The sequence below is a fragment of the Homo sapiens genome, chromosome 11, assembly GCF_000001405.40.
Source record: "Homo sapiens chromosome 11, GRCh38.p14 Primary Assembly".
In the NCBI taxonomy this organism is placed as follows: domain Eukaryota; kingdom Metazoa; phylum Chordata; class Mammalia; order Primates; family Hominidae; genus Homo; species Homo sapiens.
The window spans coordinates 71,565,476-71,581,462 of NC_000011.10; the positions used below are offsets into that span (position 1 = coordinate 71,565,476).

The 15,987-nt window shown below is 51.9% G+C and overlaps 1 protein-coding gene and 2 pseudogenes across 1 annotated transcript, besides 4 other annotated features; all 3 read left to right on the forward strand.

The window, feature by feature from the left end:
• The first annotated feature begins 87 nt into the window (after positions 1-87).
• KRTAP5-10 (keratin associated protein 5-10) lies at positions 88-1,260 on the forward strand. The gene has a single exon (NM_001012710.2). It carries the CDS (start codon positions 113-115, stop codon positions 719-721), a length of 609 nt encoding a protein of 202 aa, NP_001012728.1. The 5' UTR covers positions 88-112; the 3' UTR covers positions 722-1,260.
• Positions 475-1,290: an enhancer, noted in NCBI's record as "H3K4me1 hESC enhancer chr11:71276996-71277811 (GRCh37/hg19 assembly coordinates)". NCBI's record gives its function as "activates a minimal SCP1, AML or CMV promoter by ChIP-STARR-seq in naive H9 embryonic stem cells {active_cell/tissue: H9 hESC(naive)}" and the evidence as "EXISTENCE:reporter gene assay evidence [ECO:0000049][PMID:30033119]".
• Positions 3,077-3,526, forward strand: KRTAP5-13P (keratin associated protein 5-13, pseudogene; annotated as a pseudogene).
• Positions 13,160-13,673: an enhancer, noted in NCBI's record as "H3K4me1 hESC enhancer chr11:71289681-71290194 (GRCh37/hg19 assembly coordinates)". NCBI's record gives its function as "activates a minimal SCP1, AML or CMV promoter by ChIP-STARR-seq in primed H9 embryonic stem cells {active_cell/tissue: H9 hESC(primed)}" and the evidence as "EXISTENCE:reporter gene assay evidence [ECO:0000049][PMID:30033119]".
• Positions 13,674-14,185: an enhancer, noted in NCBI's record as "H3K4me1 hESC enhancer chr11:71290195-71290706 (GRCh37/hg19 assembly coordinates)". NCBI's record gives its function as "activates a minimal SCP1, AML or CMV promoter by ChIP-STARR-seq in primed H9 embryonic stem cells {active_cell/tissue: H9 hESC(primed)}" and the evidence as "EXISTENCE:reporter gene assay evidence [ECO:0000049][PMID:30033119]".
• KRTAP5-14P (keratin associated protein 5-14, pseudogene) lies at positions 14,037-14,506 on the forward strand (annotated as a pseudogene).
• Positions 14,608-14,902: an enhancer, noted in NCBI's record as "tiled region #7507; HepG2 Activating non-DNase unmatched - State 8:EnhW". NCBI's record gives its function as "activates a minimal TATA promoter and a strong SV40 promoter by Sharpr-MPRA in HepG2 cells {active_cell/tissue: HepG2}" and the evidence as "EXISTENCE:reporter gene assay evidence [ECO:0000049][PMID:27701403]".

The window sequence follows — 15,987 nt, forward strand, 5'->3', positions numbered from 1 at the left end:
TCCTGCCTGACATCTGGACAGGTATATAAAGAGCCCGGGCTCAGGGAGCTCCACACCTGCACCTCCCTCTCACCTGCTCCTCTACCTGATCCACCCTCAATCTACCAGAATCATGGGCTGCTGTGGCTGCTCCGGAGGCTGTGGCTCCGGCTGTGGGGGTTGTGGCTCCGGCTGTGGGGGCTGTGGCTCCGGCTGTGGGGGCTATGGCTCTGGCTGTGGGGGCTGTGGCTCCAGCTGCTGTGTGCCCGTCTGCTGCTGCAAGCCCGTGTGCTGCTGTGTGCCAGCCTGTTCCTGCTCCAGCTGTGGCTCCTGTGGGGGCTCCAAGGGGGACTGTGGCTCTTGTGGGGGCTCCAAAGGGGGCTGTGGTTCCTGTGGGGGCTCCAAGGGGGGCTGTGGCTCCTGTGGGGGCTCCAAGGGGGGCTGTGGTTCTTGTGGGGGCTCCAAGGGGGGCTGTGGCTCCTGTGGGGGCTCCAAAGGTGGCTGTGGTTCCTGTGGGGGCTCCAAGGGGGGCTGTGGTTCTTGTGGCTGCTCCCAGTGCAATTGCTGTAAGCCCTGCTGCTGCTCCTCAGGCTGTGGATCCTGCTGCCAGTCCAGCTGCTGCAATCCCTGCTGCTGCCAGTCCAGCTGCTGTGTCCCCGTGTGCTGCCAGTCTAGCTGCTGCAAGCCCTGCTGCTGTCAGTCCAGCTGCTGTGTCCCCGTGTGCTGCCAGTGTAAGATCTGAGGCTCTGAACCCAGACCTTCAGGTTTCACCTGTTTGGTGAAAGCATTTGTTATGATTTCCCTGAATTAATTCATCCCACGCATCCTCCCTGAGGCACCTGCCCCTTCTCCAGCTCATCATCCATGCACGCACCTCCTTCCATGGCTCAGCTCTCCACTGGGCCCTGCCTTCAGCCTCCTCACTCCGGAAATGCATGTTTCCTTGATGCAGGAGGTGGCCTTGCCTGGACGCGGGCACCCAGCCAACTGCCATGGTGTTCCCTGCACTTGGGTGTGGACCATCTTCTTCTTCTCCCTCGGCTGACTGAGATGCAAGGTCTGACCCCACAAGGCCAGGCCAATGTTGCTCAGTGATCACTAAGAACCAGCTTCTCAACCACCATTGGGACCCTGGATCCTCCAGGGCCGCTCGCTGCCTGTTCTCCAGTGGCCACCTGTGACCAGGAAGGTCTCCTTCCTTCCTGTTGTCTCCATCTATTTAAAAACAATAACAAAGTAATGAATGAATTTCCTTACAATAAAGCCTCTCATGTCTGTAAATCAGCTGCATGCTTGGTGCAATTCTGTCCAACCCCTTTCCTGTGCAGTGACTGATTCTGCGTTCTGATCTGTCAGCTAAGCTGGGAAACGCCTGCCAGCAGGCCTGGTACATTCACAAAAAAACCTGCCATTCCCTTCTGTCCTCCTCTCAGCCTCAAATATCTTCAGTCTCTGCTCGCAGGAGAAGAGGGCAAAGCCCGGGAGGATTCAGCATTCAATGCCCGCCCTAGAGGCGCAGAGGGGCAGGCAGGCCCTGAGTCCTGACGACCAGCCAAGCAGGGCTTTGCACAAGACCCATGGCTTCCAGCTTCCCGCTCTCCTCTGGGGCCTCGGAAGGACCCCAGGCAGGGCAAGGTCGGAGGAGGGAGGAGTGAAGCACCGCTGAGCTCCAACGCACTCTGATTCAAACATTCAATTAGCCTTTTACAATTATGAGGTCAACGGCTTTCCATAACTAAAGGTAACCAGGAAGTTACAGAATGGCCCAAGGTGTCCTCGGAGCTCAGTCTCCCGGCAGGAAAGGAGAGTTCCTGGGAAGTGACACATTTGGGGACCCTGAGCCAAGTCCATCTGTTTCATGGTGACATGCCACCACGCTGAGCCTGTTCTCTGACCAGTGTCACAGGCAAGGCTTTAGAAATCACGCACTGGGGAGGAGGAGACAAGAGTGATCTGAGGACAATCTCCAGCCAAGCGAACCCGGAGGGAAAAGGTGGAGGGAAGACAGCACACAGGGAGTGCTGGTGAGAAATGAGCTCCCACAGAACACTCACAGATCTAAGCGACTGCTGATACTGCCGGGGAAGAGCAGAGTGGGAATTTCCAAGACAAATTTCTGAGAGAAAAGAGATGCAATGTAAGGAAAAATGAAATAATCTAGAAATAAAGGCTTAGATTAATTCAGCCACATTTAGGAAAGGGAATAAAAGTGTGTCAAAGGTGCATCTTGCTAGGGGACATGGCTATCGTTAGTTTCACGACGTTAAAAGGAAATGCTGCTTAAGACAGTTCACTCAAAAATCCAAACTGGGAAACTCCAGAAGGTGACAGCAGACATGAACGCAGAGTTCATTACATATGGGCCCTGTACATTCCCACAACCCACAGGACACCGAGCAACTAGGTAACAAAACCGAAAATGCATGCTGGAGACATAACAAAACCAGGTAAGCTGGGCATGGTGGCTCACACCTGTAGCCTCAGCTACGTGGAAGGCTGAGGTGGGAGGATGGCTTGAGCCTGGGAGTTTGAGGCTGCAGTGAGCTGTGATCGCACCCCTGGGATCCAGCCTCAGCAACCTAAAGTGAGATAGTGTCTCAAGAAAAAAAACAAGTGAACCTCAAAGTCCAAGAAGGTGGGGATAAATTTACAAGAGCCACAGTCCCCCAGGGTTTCAGTGTCTGTGTAGGAGAAAGCAAAGAAACATCTAACAGAGCCGAATACAGGGGAACCTCAAAAGAGCCAACAGGTGTGTGCTGGAAAAGCACAGCATGAATTTTGAATTCAGCTCCTGAAATGGGGAAGGTTTTCCTCTCTCCAGTGGAGAGTGGGTGCAAGGGCCCTCAGTAAGTCCCTATAGGCAATAAAAGAAAGCTAGGAAGCCTGCTGTGAAACAGATCACAGTGGTAGCGTACTGTTTCCAAAGGAGCTAATGAACAATGAAAGGAAATGATACCAGACATAAAAGAGGCTGCATGTGGTGGCTCATGCCTGTCATCCCTGCAATTTGGGAGGCCAAGGCAGGAGGATCACTTGAGGCCAAGAGATCAAATCCAGCCTGGACAATAAGGAGAGATCTTATCTCTACAAAAAAAAAAAATTTAAGTACCTGGGCATGGTGACACCCACTTGTAGTCTTGTTTACTCAGGAGGATTACTTGAGACCAGGAGGTGGAGGCTGCAGTGACCTGTGACTGCGCCACTGCACTTCATACTGGGCAACATTCTCAGTGCAGTTGCTGCAAACTCTGCTGCTGCTCCTCAGGCTGTGAATCAACCTGCTCCCAGTCCAGCTGCTGCAAGCCCTGCTGCTCCCGGTCCAGCTGCTGCAAGTCCTGATGTTCCCGGTCCAGCTGCTGCAAGTCCTGCTGTTCCCGGTCCAGCTGCTGCAAGCCCTGCTGCTCCCAGTCCAGCTGCTGCAGGTCCTGCTGCTCCAAGTCCAGCTGCTGTGTCCCTATTTGCTGTCAGTACAAGATCTGATCTTTAACACACAGCCATATTGGCTCTCATCCACATGCTCCAGACAGAGACCAATGTATCAGCATAAAGCCGTGAATCACAGCCCTGGGGTGACTGTTTTCTAGAATGTTGGAGCAGCAGTATTTGGAACAGGAAGAGCCTACACAGGCCCTGTGCGGGGCACAACCCCTCACCACCCTCATCTCACCATGGGTGGCTGTCATGGTGCATGAGACCGCTCCTGCTTCCTCTCTTGCACCACCTCTCTCTACCCTGACATTCTAAACCCTCTCCTCCCAGGCATGGTCCCAAGGAAAGCTCCTGTTGCAATTTGTCTATTGGGCTCTGCAAATTCTGAGCCTTGACCTTGTGAGTCCTTTGAATAAGCGATCCCTTCCCCTCACGAGTCCTGTTTTCAGTGTGGCCCTTTTCCTGCTGTTCCTTTTGAATGAGCCTTTCAACCTCCCTCCTGGCCCTAAAGCACCCCCTTTCTTTGCGCTTCCTGATCACATCAGGCTGTTGGGTGATCCACTCCTTCATGCGGCACAGTTTGCTAAGCACCACTGCATGCACCAGGAGCGCGAGAAGAACGCAGCGTGGCGCCTGGCCTTGGGGTGCTTGGACGGGAGCTGGGGAGCCCCTACGATAGGGTGGAGGGGTAACTGAGGTCCTCCACAGCCAGGTGGCGAGAAGGCCGAGCGGGGCAGATGTGAGAGGGTCTGAGACGCAGCATGACAGGGAAGAGACCAGCCAACTCTAAAAATAGCTTTGGGAGTAGAATTTCAAGCATGGTGACTGCTTGGATGGACGAAGGGCTGGGAGAGGCATAGAGAGAAAGGAGGAGGGAAGGGGGGCTCCCTTGTTCCTGAGCCAGTGCAGAGTCCTCCAGGACCCACTTCTTTCTGTGTCCTGCCCACCCTGTGACCTGGCCAGCTGCACGTTTTCCCAGCAGGCTTGAAGCCACGCTGTGCTGTGAACATTCCCAGGCCCTGAACACTGAGAAAGGTGTTCACGTTGATGCCCAAAACAGTGAAATCTCAAACACGTGGCTAAACATGCAGAAGCTATCTCAGACCCTGAGGCTAACCCCTCACAGCCCCATGTGAGCTCCACGGCCTGGGCCCTCGCTGCAGACATGCCTGCGTGTCCCCCTTCTCTCAGTTGTGACTGTGGCTCAGATGTGCCTACATCTGCCCCCTCTGGCGTTGTGGCCTTGGCTGGCATCCTCTGAAAAAGATGAAGGGAGGGGAAGGGACACAGCCCTCCTGACCTCCCCTGACAAATGCTCTTGACTGACCCCCTCTCTGGAGGGGCTGGGGCTGTCCCTGCATTACTCCCCTGCCACAGCTTTTGGGGTGACTCCAGCAGCAGGACTGGCCAGACAGAACAGTAAGGGAATTGAGACCCACCTTATTGGTCTCAGAACTTTGTATAAATCCCACAGGATAATATTAGCATTGGTTTAAGTGGTTCACTGATTGTTTTAAAGGGATTTGTATTTTAAAGTCTTGATAAAACAAGCAGGGAAAATTCATGCTACCCCTTGATTCTGCCAAAAAACCACCTGCTTCTTGGAAGAGGCCAGACCCCGTTCAGAGCCGCCGTTTACTAATCAGAGGAGAGAGGCTCGCTCAGCAGAGATGCGTGTCTCCTCTTCAAGCTGTGAGAGTCTGAAGCCCTCGGACACCAAAGAAGTGTGTGGAGGGTGTATGGGGGGTTGTGTTTGAATGTGTGCATGTGAGTGCATGAGTGTGTGTGTCAAAGAATATGTGTATGAGTATGCGTATGACTGTGAGTGTGTGTGCAAATATGCATGAGGATTTGCATGAGTGTGTGAGTGCACATGAGTGTATGAGCAGGTACATGAGTGTGTCAGTGTGTGAGTGTGAGTGTGAGATTGAGTGTATAAGTGTGAGTGCATGTGAGCATATGAGTCGGTGTAGGGGTGTGTCAGTGTGTGTGTGTGAGTGAGTCTGAGAGTGTGTGTATGAGTGTGTGAATGCATGTGAGTGTACGAGTTGGTGTAGGGGTGTGAGTGTGTGTGAGAATGTGTGTATGAGTGTGTGAGTCCATGTGAGTGTACGAGTCAGTGTAGGGGTGTGTGTGTGTGAGTGTGAGAGTGTGTTTACGCGCTTGCAGAGAGCTGCTCCCATCACCAGCCCCCGTGGCTGGAACCCCCTGCGGTCATCACTGGAAGTCCTGACCAGAGCTGCCTGCCCTCCAGGCTCTGATGATCCTGCCAAGTCCTGCGGGTCCTCCATGAAGAGCGGCAGCCTGAAGCCCCGACCCCTGCAGACCCAAGGCTGTCTGGGGACGGGCCAGTGCACCGTGTCCTCCTGTCCAGGGCCAGGCGCAGCGAACATGCCCATTAAACACAGATGCCCCTCACCCGCCGCCGGGGCCTGGGGCACGGGCACATGCGCGTGGACTTTTCAGGAACAGGATTCACGGCTTCTATCACCAGGTTCTGGAACGGGTCGCCCACGCACGTTGACCTGGGCCTCACGTACTACAGCCTCCACGCGGGAAAGAAAAGTCCCGGTTCTGCAGGGTGACCAAGTCACATGAGGAGGACAGGCCAGGGATGGAGGAGCGGGGCAAACTAGGGGTATCGTTCACCCAAATTTGTCCGCAGCCCCATCCAGAGGGATTTCCTGCTCTGACCCCACCCTGCCCCTCATGCAGACGGAGGGGCGCAGGCGGCCGGCAGGGCGGGGAGAGTGCATCAGCCTCAGAGAAGCCATGGGGGGCTGGGGGCCGGGACCGCGGCGCTGACTGTCCCGAGAAATAGGAAAAGAGAAAGGCACAGAGCGGACACGATTCTCAACTCAGAACACAAGTGGAGAAGAGGAGCCTCTCGGGTCTAGGGGCTCACGGGACATCCCTGCCCCTCCTGCCAATTTTGCTGTGAACCTAAAACTGCTCTGAAAAATAAAGTCCATTAAAAACGCGCATGGGCTGATGCGGAGGGGACCATCCAGCCCTCAGCTGCTCACTGGCTATGAACGCACCCGGAGTCCTCAGAGTGGGCTTTGGCAGCAACGCCACACCCTAGCCTCATCCTGAGCTCAAAGTTCACTCAAATAACCCAGGTCTTTAAAAAAAAATTAGCCACTGTTAAACCAGGTCACCCATTCTAAGTTTTTGTGGTTGATTTTTTTAACATAAAAACAGGGTTTGGTGTATATGTTCTTGTCAAATATTTTCTTTACAATTCTGAAAAACAGTGGATTTGCATGTGGACGTGGGATATAAGAATTCGATGCTTTAGAGTGATGAGGTTCTGTGCAATTTTTCCTTATTTTCATAATTATTTTATTTATGGCTGCCAAGATGTTATTGTGTAAGAAATAAAAACTGGTAGAGGGAAAAAGTGAAATAAAAACCCCCAAACAGCCAAAAAGAGAGCACCCCGGGGTGTCGGCATCATTTCCTGTGGGCAGCCCCGGCTGGGGGTCATGCGGATGCCTGACTGTGGGGGCTGCAGAATCAGGGCAGCAATTAAAATGCACAGCCCTGCAATTAGGAGCTAGTAATAAGGTAAGAACACGACTTCGAGGGGCAGGCCTCTGCTGAAACTCTTGGGATGAAATCATCTGGGTAGATACAAGAGTCAAAAACTTGGAATCCTCAAATTTCCCTGAACTCTAAGCAGCCTGTCCTGGCCCACCCTGGTCACCCCCTCACACCCACCCACCCGCAGCTAAGATGGTCCCATCTCCCTTAGAAAGACCCCTTCCAATGACATCAGCTGAAGCAGTCGCCACTCAAGGACCCACCACCATCCCCAGACCCACAGGAGAGGTAGCCCCCAGAACAGCACAGGTGGAAGCGGGTGAGCCTGTGTGGGAAGGAGACAGCTACACACAGCGCAGGTGCAGGGTGCTGCCCATCTCATCGTCCAGAGCAGGGGAAGTTGGAACAGGAAAGGTTGAGAAATGAGGGAAAGTCAAGTCAAGCATGTCTATTCAGGTGCCCTCACCAGGGTTTGGGTTTTAAAGTGCTGGTCCAAACACGGGGACTGGCATTCACAGTCAGCTAGGTTGGCAACCAGGCCCGAACTGTACAAACCTGACCGACAGTCAGCAAGGTTGCATCGTGACCACGGGCCTGGAAAGCTTTCCCTGGGAAGATTAGAGAGTCACGTTGTAGGCTTTGTAAGTCATCAGGTCTCTGCCCCAGCTGCCCAGTTCTGCCGCTGTAGCACTAAGGCAGCTGTAGACAGAACTTTCTTTACAGAGGCGGGCGGTTCTCAAACTGTATACGTTACATCAGTGCAATTTTCTTTTGTATATTAGTGCTACCTACGTAAAGCTGTTAATAAATAAAAACAAAAACAAACCAAAGGGGTGGGGTGTGTTTGCCCATAGGCCATAGTTTGCCAAGCGCTTACTGTAAAGAAAAGAAAGCAAAAGTCCAGGAAGAGGAGAATGCTGATGTGGATTAATGAAGTGCAACGTATTCACCGTCCCCTAAACATATGACTCGATAGGGCTGGGAGAACACTCGTGTAATCAAGGGATGAAAACACACGTGAGTGAGGAGGGCCGAGGCATCCTTGGAAAGCTCTTAGGGGGTGGTCCTTGTCCTCTGGGGCCAGAGATGTCTACAGTGGGAGATGCCTCTCCCAACTGCAATGGGAATAGAGGAGCCCAGAGTGGGAAAGCCAGGTGATGGCACTGAGTTGTCAGAAACAAGTGTCCCAATCACCATCACCAGCTGCCGGGAATGGGTGGTGGTGAGACTCCACTGATACGTGGACATGCTCAGCAGTGGGTCACTGATGGGGGGACAGGCAGCCTATTACAATGCCCCCTCTGCTTCATCTACATCAGCAGCAACATTCCAGGTCTGGTGGGCAGAAACGTAGCTCCAATCACCATAGTAGGGGTTTCCTGAAACCTTAGCCAAATTGCAAATTCAGGGCCCATTGACTGGAGGGAAGCCAGATCCTCCTAAGCAAGGGCCCTGCATGATGTCACAGACGTCAGCCACAACTGTTCTAAGCCTCCCCTGAAGGAACCTGCTGCCACCACTTTCACTAGGAAAAGGGAGCCTAGATATTTCAGGGGATCATCAGAAATTAGCTTTCAATGGATGCTAATCCTTAGGGAAAGATCACACGAGAGGAGCCTATTCTCAGAGTGGGAGCCTTTGTAAGTTGGGAGGGGGATGGGGGCTTGGCTTTAGTCTTCCTTACGGTGGGTCCAGTGAGCCTGTGGGCCAATCCCATGGCTGCCTCCTCACAGGGAATAGGTAGTGGGAGGAGATACCTGAGTAGCTGAGATAATCTCCATATTAGGTCCCTGTAGAAGACCTATTGTAGTTAAAAAATAAACACACACAGACACACACACACACACACACACACACACACACACACACCCTCAGGGACATAGAGAGAATGGAAGTAATACTTCTTTCTCAGAGAACTTCAGAGATTATTGACAACTCTAATTCCTGCCACAGCCCCATTTAGCTCTCCTGTTTGACCAGCACAAAAGGCACATGGGTCTTGGAGAAACACTCTGAATTTTTTAAACAATTAGGTGGGAAAGCCAATTGCAGCTGCTCTCCTAGTTGGCACGTCCTTATTGAAGCAGCTCACACAGCCTCTGACACGTGATATGCAGCTATTGTTATAACAGATTTTCTTTTCAATTCCACCTAGCAAAGACGATCCAGGGGAGTTTGCATTCACCTGGCAGGAGCAGCAATATACTATCAACCCTGCTACTTCAGGGCCAGGTCAAGGCCTCTCTCTGTCACAGTAGAATCCAGAGTTATCTGTATCGTCTTGTTATCCAAGAACATTACACTAGATTGATACAATGTAGATCCACTACACCAGCCCTAGTAAGTAGGAATTTGAAGTACCCTAAGTACCTGGGTAAAACACACGCATACTCAAGGACAGGGGATAAACTTTGTGAAAATGCAGGTGTATTATAATTTCTATAGAACTTATGTTCTGAGAAGTGTCAGAATATTCCCACTAAAGTGAGGGCAAACTTGCTGCACCTTCCAAAATTCTCCCCTTGGTGGGCCTTTTAGGGTTTGCACGTGCACTACCTTTGGGTATGCAGCGACCAACCATTAACTAAATAACTTCCAGTTTTGAGCAGGGCTCAGACAAGAAAAGTTTGCAGTAGAATGAGGCTGTGTTGCAAGCTGCCCTGCCATTTGGGCCATATGACCCAGCAGACCCACTGCTACATGAAGTGTCTGTGCAGATAGGAATGCTATGTGGAGCCTCCAGCAACCCCCAATCAGAGAATCACCTGTAGGGCTTCCTAGTAAGCCCATATTCAATTTCACCAGCAGCTCTTCAGGGTTGGCTGTGGACTCCGATGAAGACGCTATGCCTGACCCTTGCACATGAAGTATGTATGCAGTCGTAACTGCTCATCGAGATCTGGGCATTTTCTCATCACCCAGATCATAAAGTTAGAGTTGAACATGCACAGCAGCATTTTCTTAGTAGCTGGAAACAATATGCTTGTCCAGGGCTGAGCGGCTCTGGAAGGCACGGATCCATTGCATAGGCAGGTAGCTGGCGTTCCCAGGGGGCTGCTCTTAGTGCCTCTCTAGGGTGCTGCAAAACCAAACTAAAGGAAGCTTCCTCCTCGGTACGAATGATCACTTCCCCTAAACCATCACTCACTCATCACCCACCTTCCTCCAGGGCCCAGCCAGCTACCATGCTCCCGAGCCTGCTCTCTACCGACCATTATGTTCCATCCTTTCTCTGTTGTTATTTTGTAGGTTCATGAACCCCCAAACCCTGTCTCTGATCCTGTGAGAAGATACAGAATGTTAGTGAATAGCAGGAGAACCCCTGCAAGAATGGCTAAGAAGAAATAAATCAAAGTTTAGCAAGTGGAAACATAAAGAAAAAATGAAGAGGGGGCTGGAGGTGTGGAGAGAGGATTGGATGGTTGCAGATCATTTCACTAGACAAAGAAGAGGGTGGGGCAGAGGGGATGCAGTGCAGACGGAGGCTGATTGGCGGCTGTAACATGTGACCACACACACAGATGCTGATCCAAATTTGCTAAATGTCCTAACTGCACATGATTTCCACCACTAAGCCTGTAGCCCCAACATAGGCTTTGTGTAAGGTGACATTTCTGGGGCCATATTCATTTAGGGCCATGACCATGGGGAGTGAGCATTGCGAAGTAAATTTCCAGCTACAGTTCAATAAATTCTTGTCCTCTAGAAGATGAATGACTTCCAGGAATACTCCCACCACTCACTGTGACAACTTGCCCAGGTAATGGCAACACAAAGATGAACAGCCAGAGATTGTGTCGTGACACCATGCATCCTCCAGGGACTGCATGTAGGCAGTGGAGGAGAAACATGGTTTGAAAGGTCCAGAGGCAGAGCTAGTTTTCAGAAATGTCTTCCAAATATTATAGCTTAATAGGAAAGCAATTTGATGATGTCACCCCAAATTTGACAATTCTAAAAATTAACATAGTTATTGATAGTGAGCTATGAGACAAAAAGCAATCTTTCTAAACTATTGATGATGTAATTTCTTAAAGAGAACAGTGCTAGAAGAAATAATGAATTCTCCCCACCATGCCCCCAACCATTAGCGGTCATAGAGACCTCCAGCTGATGCCAAGAAGAAAGGAAGCCCTTGGCTGCCCTAAAGCTTCTCTTGGCACATTCCTGTGGGAATGGCAGGTGGTGGGGAAGGGGCTGGAGAAATGCTCTGAGGGAGGGGCAGGGGCTGCTCCACCAGGGCATGGGGAACCCCCAAAGCCCAGGGGATTCACACATGGACTTGGGTCGGAAACGCAAAATTGGCAGGAGGGGCAGGGATGTCCCGTGAGCCCCTAGACCCGAGAGGCTCCTCTTCTCCACTTGTGTTCTGAGTTGAGAATCGGGTCCGCGTCTGTGTCTTTCTCTCTTCCTATTTCTCAGGACAGTCAGCGCCGCGGTCCCCGCCCCCAGCCCCCCATGGCTTCTCTGAGGCTGATGGACTCTCCCCGCCCTGCCGGCCGCCTGCGCCCCTCCGTCTGCATGAGGGGCAGGGTGGGGTCAGAGCAGGAAATCCCTCTGGATGGGGCTGCGGACAAATTTGGGTGAACGATACCCCTAGTTTGCCCCGCTCCTCCATCCCTGGCCTGTCCTCCTCATGTGACTTGGTCACCCTGCAGAACCGGGACTTTTCTTTCCCGCGTGGAGGCTGTAGTACTTGAGGCCCAGGTCAACGTGCGTGGGAGACCCGTTCCAGAACCTGGTGATAGAAGCCGTGAATCCTGTTCCTGAAAAGCCTACACGCACGTGCCCGTGCCCCAGGCCCCGGCGGCGGGTGAGGGGCATCTGTGTTTAATGGGCATGTTCGCTGCGCCTGGCCCTGGACAGGAGGACGCGGTGCACCACCCCGTCCCCAGACAGCCTTGGGTCTGCAGGGGTCGGGGCTTCAGGCTGCCGCTCTTCAAGGAGGACCCGCAGGACTTGGCAGGATCATCAGAGCCTGGAGGGCAGGCAGCTCTGGTCAGGACTTCCAGTGATGACCGCAGGGGGTTCCAGCTACCGGGGCTGGTGATGGGAGCCACTCTGTGCAAGCGCATACACACTCTCTCACACTCACACACTCACACACCCCTACACTGACTCGTACACTCACATGGATTCACACACTCATACACACATTCTCACACTCACACACTCATACACACATTCTCACACTCACACACACTCACACACCTCTACACTGACTCACATGCATTCACACACTCATATACACATTCTCGCACTCACTCACACACTCCTACACCAACTCGTACACTCACATGCATTCACACATTCATACACACTCTCATACTCACACACACACACTGACACACCCCTACACCGACTCATACGCTCACATGCACTCACACACTCATACACATACTCTCACACTCACACACACACTGACACACTCATGCACCTGCTCATACACTCATGTGCACTCACACACTCATGCAAATCCTCATGCATATTTGCACACACACACAGTCATATGCATACTCATACACGCATTCTCTCACACACACACTCATACACTCACATACACACATTCAAACAGAAACAACCCCCCATACACCCTCCACACACTCCTCTAGTGTCTGGGGGCTTCAGACTCTCACAGCTTGAAGAGGAGACACGCATCTCTGCTGAGCGAGCCTCTCTACTTCTCTGATTGGTAAACGGTGGCTCTGAACGGGGTCTGGCCTCTTCCAAGAAGCAGGTGGTTTTTTGGCAGAATCAAGGGGTCGCATGGATTTTCTCTGCTTGTTTTATTAAGACTTCAAAATACAAATCCCTTTAAAACAATCAGTGAACCACTTAAACCAATGCTAATATTATCCTGTGGGATTTATGCAAAATTATGTGACCAATAAGGTGGGTCTCTTTTGAATTCCCTTACTGTTCTGTCTGGCCAGTCCTGCTGCTGGAGTCACCCCAAAAGCTGTGGCAGGGGAGTCACTGCAGGGGCAGCTCCAGCCCCTCCAGAGAGGGGGTCAGTCAAGAGCATTTGTCAGGGGAGGTCAGGAGGGCTGTGTCCCTTTCCCTCCCTTCATCTTTTTCAGAGGATGCCAGCCAAGGCCACAACGCCAGAGGGGGCAGACGTAGGTAGGTCCAAGCCACAGTCACAACTGAGAGAAGGGGGACACGCAGGCATGTCTGCAGCGAGGGCCCAGGCCGTGGAGCTCACATGGGGCTGTGAGGGGTTAGCCTCAGGGTCTGAGATAGCTTCTGCATGTTTAGCCACGTGTTTGAGATTTCACTGTTTTGGGCATCAACGTGAACACCTTTCTCAGTGTTCAGGGCCTGGGAATGTTCACAGCACAGCGTGGCTTCAAGCCTGCTGGGAAAACGTGCAGCTGGCCAGGTCACAGGGTGGGCAGGACACAGAAAGAAGTGGGTCCTGGAGGACTCTGCACTGGCTCAGGAACAAGGGAGCCCCCCTTCCCTCCTCCTTTCTCTCTATGCCTCTCCCAGCCCTTCGTCCATCCAAGCAGTCACCATGCTTGAAATTCTACTCCCAAAGCTATTTTTAGAGTTGGCTGGTCTCTTCCCTGTCATGCTGCGTCTCAGACCCTCTCACATCTGCCCCGCTCGGCCTTCTCGCCACCTGGCTGTGGAGGACCTCAGTTACCCCTCCACCCTATCGTAGGGGCTCCCCAGCTCCCGTCCAAGCACCCCAAGGCCAGGCGCCACGCTGCGTTCTTCTCGCGCTCCTGGTGCATGCAGTGGTGCTTAGCAAACTGTGCCGCATGTAGGAGTGGATCACCCAACAGCCTGATGTGATCAGGAAGCGCAAAGAAAGGGGGTGCTTTAGGGCCAGGAGGGAGGTTGAAAGGCTCATTCAAAAGGAACAGCAGGAAAAGGGCCACACTGAAAACAGGACTCGTGAGGGGAAGCGATCGCTTATTCAAAGGAATCACAAGGTCAAGGCTCAGAATTTGCAGAGCCCAATAGACAAACGGCACCAGGAGCTTTCCTGGGACTGTGCCTGGGAGGAGAGGGTTTAGAACATCAGGGTAGAGAGAGGTGGTGCAGGAGAGGAAGAGGAGCGGTCTCATGCACCATGACAGCCGCGCATGGTGAGACGAGGGTGGTGAGGGGCTGTGCCCCGCACAGGGCCTGTGAAGGCTCTTCCTGTTCCAAATACTGCTGCTCCAGCATTCTAGAAAACAGTCACCCCAGGGCTGTGATTCACGGCTTTATGCTGATACATTGGTCTCTGTCTGGAGCATGTGGATGAGAGCCAATATGACTGTGTGTTAAAGATCAGATCTTGTACTGACAGCAAATAGGGACACAGCAGCTGGACTGGGAGCAGCAGGGCTTGCAGCAGCTGGACTGGGAGCAGGTTGATCCACAGCCTGAGGAGCAGCAGCAGAGTTTGCAGCAACTGCACTGAGACTGTTGCCCAGTATGAAGTGCAGTGGCGCAGTCACAGGTCACTGCAATCCCCATCCCGTGGTCTCAAGCAATCTGCCTGAATAAACAAGACTACAGGTGGGTGTCCCCATGCCCAGGTACTTAAAATAAATTTTTTTTAAGTTAAAGATAAGATCTCTCTTTATTGTCCAGGCTGGATTTGATCTCCTGGTCTCAAGTGATCCTCCTGCCTTGGCCTCCCAAATTGCAGGGATGACAGACATGAGCCACCACATGCAGCCTCTTTTATGTCTGGTATCATTTCCTTTCATTGTTCATTAGCTCCTTTGGGAACAGTACGCTACCACTGTGATCTGTTTCATGGCAGGCTTCCCAGCTTTCTTCCATTGCCTGTAGGGACTTACCAAGGGCCCTTGCACCCACTCACCACTAGAGGGAGGAAAACCTTCCCCATTTCAGGAGCCGAATTCAAAATTCACGCTGTGTTTTCCGGCACGCACCTGTTGGCTCTTTCGAGGTTCCCCTGTTTTCAGCTCTGTTAGATGTTTCTTTGCTTTCTCCTACACAGACACTGATACTCTGGGGAACTGTGGCTCTTGGAAACTTGTCCTGACAGTCTTGTGTTTTGAGGCTCACTTGTTCATTTTTTGTTTGGTGTTTTTTTGTTTGTTTTTGTTTTGTTGTTGTTGTTTGTTTTTTGTTTTTGGTTTATTGAGACAAAGTCTCATGTTATGTTGCCCAGGAGTTCAGAGGCATGATCAAAAGTCACTGCAGCCTCAAACTCCCAGGCTCAAGCCATCCTCTTGCCTCAGCCTCCTGAGTAGCTGGGGCTGCAGGTTTGCACCACCATGCCTGGCTTACCTGGTTTTGTTATAAATCTCCAGCATGCATTTTTGGTTTTGTTACCTAGTTGCTTGGTGTCCTGTGGGTTGTGGGAATGTACAGGGCTCAGATGTAATGAACTCTGCGTTCATGTCTGCTGCCACCTTCTGGAGTTTCCCAGTTTGGATTTTTGAGTGAACTGTCTTAAGCAGCATTTCCTTTTAGCGTTGTGAAACTATCAATAGCCATGTCCCCTAGCAAGATGCACCTTTGACACACTTTTATTCCCTCTCCTAAATGTGGTTGAAATAATCTAAGCCTTTATTTCTAGATTATTTCATTTTTCCTTACATTGCATCTCTTTTCTCTCAGAAATTTGTCTTGGAAATTCCCACTCTGCTCTTCCCCGGCAGTATCAGCAGTCGCTTAGATCTGTGAGTGTTCTGTGGGAGCTCATTTCTCACCAGCACTCCCTGTGTGTTGTCTTCCCTCCACCTTTTCCCTCCGGGTTCGCTTGGCTGGAAATCGTCCTCAGATCACTCTTGTCCCCTCCTCCCCAGTGCGTGATTTCTAAAGCCTTGCCTGTGACACTGGTCAGAGAACAGGCTCAGCGTGGTGGCGCATCACCATGAAACAGATGGACTTGGCTCAGGGTCCCCAAATGTGTCACTTCCCAGGAACTCTCCTTTCCTGCCGGGAGACTGAGCTCCGAGGACACCTTGGGCCATTCTGTAACTTCCTGGTTACCTTTAGTTATGGAAAGCCGTTGACCTCATAATTGTAAAAGGCTAATTGAGTGTTTGAATCAGAGTG

What these genes read in the sequence shown, in the direction of transcription:
- KRTAP5-10 (NM_001012710.2), top strand. Translation starts at nt 113, where the DNA reads ATGGGCTGCTGTGGCTGCTCCGGAGGCTGTGGCTCCGGCTGTGGGGGT.